General features: G+C 42.4%; 1 protein-coding gene across 14 annotated transcripts in view, besides 1 other annotated feature; it reads right to left on the bottom strand.

The window, feature by feature from the left end:
- The window catches only part of MYO18B (myosin XVIIIB), a 321,660-nt gene that overhangs the window by 181,257 nt on the left and 133,535 nt on the right, over positions 1-6,868 (bottom strand). For all 14 annotated transcript variants that reach the window (XM_011530461.3, XM_011530458.3, XM_017029014.2 and 11 more), the window contains 2 exons: positions 6,259-6,402; positions 4,543-4,632 (listed from right to left, as the gene is read on the bottom strand). In XM_011530461.3, coding sequence (XP_011528763.1) covers positions 4,543-4,632; positions 6,259-6,402 — 234 coding nt within the window. The remainder of the gene's footprint in view (positions 1-4,542; positions 4,633-6,258; positions 6,403-6,868) is intronic.
- Positions 1,787-1,966: an enhancer, noted in NCBI's record as "active region_18790". NCBI's record gives its function as "activates an Ori minimal core promoter by ATAC-STARR-seq in GM12878 lymphoblastoid cells {active_cell/tissue: GM12878}" and the evidence as "EXISTENCE:reporter gene assay evidence [ECO:0000049][PMID:35858748]".

Genomic DNA, 6,868 nt, shown 5'->3' with positions numbered 1-6,868 from the left:
GATTCATTTTTGAAAGAAATGACATCATGCTCTTGGCTTACAGTTCAGGATGATGCTCCAAAAGTGCTCCTACCCATCCCTTCTCAATTGCTGTGTGAATATTGCTGAAGTCATACTTTGCTAAATGCCTTAGTGCCCCTTTTATGAGAATCCATGGAATAAATTTCCCTAACACCTCAATAGCCAGAAAAGTTACTCTTATCTCATGTAACAGGTGTTTCTTTTTTTTTTTTCAATCTACATGCAATATGTCTATGAAATAGCTTGTTTCCCTCTTAGCTTTCGCTGCTAGGAAGTTCAGTGTTGGATTTTTCTGCCCAACTTTAATGGTTCTATTTGACCATTCTTTATCTATCCTGTGCCAGGGACTGGGATTATTTGACGAACAGGGATGAAAACAGGGATTTCAGTCTAGCTGGGACACAGATAAAGGAGGTCACTAGGAAAGAGTCAATTAATCCTGTGAGGGGAAACAACAAGGCTAGTGGTAGCACAGAGTAGGGCCCTAACCCACCCTTAGAGTGTTGAAGAGGGCTTCTTAGAGGAAGTGCCACCTAAAATGAGTGACAAGGGATGAAGAGGTATTAACCAGGTGAAGAGGATGAAGGGAGTGTTTCAGGCAGAGTGAACAGCACATGTGAAGGCTATGAAGTGAGAGGGCATCCAAGGCCAAAGGTAGATTTCCATTTTCTACCTCTTCCCCTGGCTTCCATACACTCATCAACTCTTATTTCCCTTTGCTCTGGCTTTCTTCACTTTTAAATTTTATCTTAATTTTTCAAGGCCCCATACATCTTGTTGTAACCATGATATAAGCAAAGAGTTAAAGAGGCTGAGTAGAATATTCTGTAGGTGTTGGCATTTGTTTGCTTGGTTCAGGGTGCAGAAGCCTGAGCCCCCACCCTTCCTTCTCCAAGTGTCCTGTAAACTGCAGCTCTGGATGCTGAAGATGTTCATCTCATCCCCGCACATCTCCCCCAACAGCCGATGCATGGCAAATCCAACCTGACAGTTCGTGATTAATGACTGCTTCAAATGTCAGCTCGGTGGGAAGGAATTTCTACAGGGAAGTCCCTGATATTCCCAACCAGCCCACAGCTCTCCAATTTTTCACTTCTGCTGTTCTACTCATTGTTGCTGCCAGCAAGAGAGGTCAGACAGCTTGCTCTCGCAAGACATGAATGAGACATCAGGCACGTGTGTGTCATTTCTTCTCCCCCTTACAGTCTTTTGCATAGGAGGAGCATAGGCTCAAGGTGTATCTCAGCCCAGCCTCTCTTAACTCTTGTGTGGATGTGGTCCTTCCTGCAAGGAGCAAGGCTTCTGCCTTCTCCGTGGCCAACTCCACGGTTGACACTTTAATGTGGGGAGAATGGACACAATCTTACAGGGAAGATGAGAAGAAGCAGAAAAGAGATGGCCTCCTCTCAAACTTCATTCCACATCCCCACATGAGCCATCTCAGGCTCAACTTGGGTTATCAACATGGGAAGAAGAGTAGGTTCTGTTGGCTTAATCATAAATCCATTTACAGTTACCATTGTCCATTAACCAAGCCAAACAACATTATAAGCAAGTAATAACACCAGGTGCTCTCGGGTGTAGAAATCTTTAAATTTTGTCCTGGACTGACAAATATTATCTCACATTGTCCCAGGACCTCGGCACCTGCCATATCTACTCTTTCCACCAGATCTGCATATAGATTACAGCAAATCATTCAGATCTAGAGTCCAACATCCCCTTCCATGGAATTCTTCCTTGACCACTTAGGCAAATAGAGCCCATGCTTAACCTCCATCACTGTCACCTCCTTCTGCTTCATATCCGTAGCACTTCATGTGTGACAAGCTTGCTTGTGGTCTGTCTCCCTCTATCGGCCTGGAGACCTTGTGTAAGGACAGGGACTTTCCCTCCTTCCTAGCTCTATCAAGGTGTCCAGTCAAATGTCTAACACATGGGAGATGTTCATATACATTTGTTGAGTGGGTGAAAAAATGGGTTTCATTTGGTCTTTAACAGAATCCTTGGAGGTACCCAGAGCTTCATGGACAAACAGAGCTGAGACTAGAATGAAGCATGTAAAACACTTACCTAGGGTGCAACATGTAAGGAGGTGTCAAAAAAAAACTCTCAGAAATCAAGATAAATAAGATTTTAATTCAATATTTTAAAAATCTCAATTAGTCAAAAAATCCACGATAAAGAAAATATCAACATTTTATATAAAGATTGGTTCACACTGTTTAGAATGTTTACTTGCCTCACCCTAATCTTGGCCTACAAATTTTGCATTTACTTAAAATTTTGATGTTTTGTTCATCAGGGATTATTTTTTGCATTACTTTACAATTTTAAAATATTATTTACTTTGCTGAGTGTTTTGGTGACCCCTTACATTTTATTCCCTAGTCAAGTGCCTCCCTTTCCCCAGTCCTGAAAGTCTACATAGAACAGCAGGTTTTCGTCGAAAAGCTCCTCTTTGGTCTAGCCGTGGCTTGCTGACCACATGCAACATAATAGCATATGATATGATTTGGTCCTATGTCCCTGACCAAACCTCATATCAAATTGTAATCCCTAGTGTTGGAGGAAGGGCCTGGTGGGAGATGACTGGATCATGGGGACAGATTTCCCCCTTGCTGTTCTAGTGATAGTGAGTGCGTTCCCACAAGATCTGGTTGTTTAAAAGTGTATAGCACCTCCCCCTTCTCACTCTTCCTCCTGCTCCAGCCATGTAGGATGTGCCTGCTTCCCCTTAACAATCCACCATGATGTAAGTTTCCTAAGGGCTCCCCAGCCATGCTTCCTGTACAGCCTGTGGAACCCTGAGCGAATCAAACCTCTTTTCTTTATAAATTACCCAGTTCAGGTATTTCTTTAGAGCAGTGCAAGAATGGACTAGCACAGCATATGACTTTGTCTAGAAGTCTATCTGTAATTTGCAGTGACCTTCTTGGAGTGGGAACTGTCTGATTCATGTAGTCACCCCCAGCCCATGAAATCAATACCCATGCCCATGAAGTCACCCCAGCCCATGAAATCAAAGAGAGAAGGCATAGGGAATACGGTCACACATTCAACCAACATAACCTTCTCCAGTCACATGACCGTACCCCAGGTAACCCCTACTCTGAATTTGGTGTTATGATTCCCATAAATATAATGACACCATAAGTATACAAGGATATACCCCTAATCAAGTACTCTTCTGTAACTGAATTATTTTCCTTTGGCATTATGTTTGCAAGAGCAATACATGCATGTTGATACACATTTTCTAGTTTAAGGATCAGGAAACTATTTCTGTAAAGATCCAGAGAGTAAATGTTTTAGCTTTCGCAGGCCACATGGCAAGGCTGAGTAGTTTCAGGTTGCAACTACTCAGCCCTGCCATTGTAACATGAAAGCAGTCATAGACTACACATAAAGGAATGAGCGTGGCTGTGTTCCAATAAAACTTTATTTACAAAAAGCAGGTGGTGCACTGAATTTAGCCTGTGAGCCACAGTTTTCCCTGTCTCTTCATTCATTTTCACTCTTGGGAGCTCGTTTTTAATATCACAAAACATATTCACCTACTGTTCTGTTAATAAGCTCCCATTTGAATGTTTACTTTCCTGTGTTTACATTCCTTCAACAGGACAAAGGCTGTTGCTATGAACTTCTTGTATTTTCATATATTCGTGGATAAGATTCTCTAGCATAAATACCTAGAGGTGGAATGGCCAGCCACAGGGCATGGACAGGTTCAACTTTCACAGATAATGCCAAATTGTTCAAGAGTGATGAGATCAATTTATGATCCCAGCAGCAGTAAATAAGAATTCCCACTGCCACACAACCTTGCCAACACTTGGCTACATCACACTCTTCAATTTTTCCAATCTGATGTGTGAAACAGTACCTATTAAGGTGTTAATTTGCACTTCCTAATTGCTAATTAGGTTGAGTGTCTTTTCATGAGTTTATTGGCCATTTGAATTTTTGAACACTTAAACTCTTGAAACAAGCGTCCCTTCCTTGGGAACTGCCCATTCATATTATTGGCTCATATTTGTTTTTCCGTTCTTATTGGAGTGTTTGCCTTCTTCCATTTGATTTGAGAAAGCTCTTTACATGTTCTGGATACTCTTTTCCAGTTTGCAAATTTCTATTCCAAGTAAGTAATATACATCTTCATTTTATGCCCTGATAAACAAAAGTTCATTATTTTAATATAGTCAAATTTATCATTTTTCCCTATGATTTGTGCTTTTGTGACTTATTTAAGAAATTCTCCCCTTTGGAACCAGGTGACATGGGTTTGAATCTCAGTTACACTTGCCGGTTGTGCAGCCTCGAGGAAGATACTTAATATCCCAGGGCCTCAATTTCCTCCACTGTAAAATGGGTTCAATAACAGCATGTGCCTCACAGGTAATTCTGGGGTGCTTGTAAAGCAATTAGCATGCTTTCAGGCATATCATTGTTCTCCCCATTAAACAGATCTCACATACATAAAGACCCCCCACAAGGACCCAAGAGGAGGGATGGGGATACCTTGCTTTCTAGCAGATCTGTGTTCTGCCGGAGTTCATTCCGCAACTTCTCTGATTTTTCTAGCTTCCGTCTTAGCGTTGTAAGCTCCTCCTACAAAAACAAACACATGAACAGAAACCATTCCAGGCCAGAGATTAAGTTCCACCTGTGTTAGGAGTGAGCAAACGGCACAAAGTTTCCGTTAGGAGGAATAAACCTTAGCAATCTATTGCACAGAATGGTGACTATAACAAATAATGGTGCACTGTATATTTCAAAATTGCTTGTAAAAAGTAGGTTTTGGCTGGGCACAGTGGCTCACACCTGTAATCCCAGCACTTTGGGAGGCTGAGGCGGGCGGATCACCTGAGGTCAGGAGTTCGAGACCAGCCTGACCAACATGGAGAAACCCCATCTCTACTAAAAATACAAAATTAGCTAGGCTTGGTGGTGCATGCCTGAGATCCCAGCTACTTGGGAGGCTTGAGGCAGGAGAATCACTTGAACCCCGGAGATGGAGGATGCAGTGAGCCGAGATAGCACCACTGCACTCCAGCCTGGGCAACAAGAGCGAGACTCCATCTCAAAAACAAAAAGTAGATTTTAAGTGCTTTCACCACAAAAAAAATGATAAATGAAGTGATGGATTTGTTAATTAGCTTTGCTTAATCATTTCATATTGTAAACATATATCAAAACATCACATTATACCCCATAAATATGTACGATTACTCTTTGTAAATTAAAGATGAATTTTTTTTTTTAAAGAGCGGTTGGGGAATGGAGTGAGTAATTCAGCCAGCATCCATGAAGATACCCAGGTGCTAGGTTCCAACAAGAGACTTTTTGTTTCACCACTTCCAAATTTCAATGTCTCTGTTCATGCAAGTCTGTTCCAGCCCTGCCCAGTCTAGGGGCTGAACACAAATCATCAGAATGAGTCCCTTGCTTTGCCTGAGACTGGGTATACACAAGTATGGACACGGTGCTCAGCACTTCATCCTCCAGGGATTGCCTTTCTGCCAGTGGCTCAGCACTGTGCCTATGACAGCACCATTCAGAAGCTGCTTCACCGCCCACCCACAGCAGGCGGGTGGAATGAACTAAGGAGCAGACACACAAAGGAGGGCTATGCAGCCATAAAGACAGAACAAGGAGGAGCTCCACAAGAATGGAAACGGCAAGATTTTCAGAATACATTTTAAGTAGAAAATACAAGTCGAAGAAGAGTATATGTAGTATTCTACTTTTTATGTAAGAAATATAAGAACTAAATATGTGTGTATAGTTACTAATTTTTGCAAAATAATAACAACAAAAAGCATGAACCAGAAACCAATTGAAACAGTTATAAAAGATAGGTGGTGACAGGGAAGAATGAAAGAAAAAGAGTGTTGTCTGAGAGGTAAAATAAATAAATAAATAAATAAATAAATAAAGGACTCAAAGACTCTGCCCATTGAGCTTCTCTGGGTTAAGTAGTGAGTGTTCATGAACCCCCAGGGTGGTAATAGCATCTCTAAACACCCACAGCCTAGAGAGGAGCTGGGCATGGGATGGAGGATTGTCTGTGTTGTTGGAGGCAGAGGAACATCTGGAAGGGGCATCAAGGCTGTTGGGCTGAGCATTCCTAGATCAAGAACATTCAGGAATAGGGGCACAGGGTGCTAGATGCAAACAGGAGGAGCAGGGTGTGGGGAGTAGCCACCCAGCACCCTGCCTGCCACATAGACTGACCTCCTTGGCTCGGAGCTGCTCAGTTCCAATGGTGGCACTAAGTAGAGGCTGGAGGGAACCAAGCAGCTGCCACCATGGCCAGTCCTTGACTGCGAGGAACACAGCCACATTCTTCTGGATGCACTGTGCAGCCAGTCGGCGAATCTGCAGGGAAGGAGAACACAGACTGGAGGGTCCTTTCCAACCCAGGTGAGGATAAAGGAAGGAGAGGAGGCAGAGGGTAGCAAAGGGGCTGGAGGAAGTGGGGTTATTTCCCGGTGGAAGGGACTGGATACCTTAAAACACATACACACACACACACACACACACACACACACACACACACACACGGGCTTCCTTTCTTGTAGTCTTTTTGATATGTCAGGCTCTCTGCATCAAACATTATGCCATAATTTAGTCTTGCATGGCCAAATAATAATAGGAGAAAGAGTAAAAGAAACTATACAATAGGTTACATCTTACATGAGGATTAGGTTTAAAGGTCATCATGCAAGGCAAAAACTGCCACTGAAAAATCTCTAAAACTGCCCACAAATAACAATGTCCACGATTATGTTATTAGCTTATATTGAAGGGAGATCATTTTCACAGTGTATTTAAACAGTAATTT

The sequence above is a fragment of the Homo sapiens genome, chromosome 22 (assembly GCF_000001405.40).
Source record: "Homo sapiens chromosome 22, GRCh38.p14 Primary Assembly".
Classification (NCBI taxonomy): Eukaryota; Metazoa; Chordata; class Mammalia; order Primates; family Hominidae; genus Homo; species Homo sapiens.
Note: the sequence above shows the minus strand (reverse complement) of the source record. Positions and strands in the feature narration are given on the sequence as shown.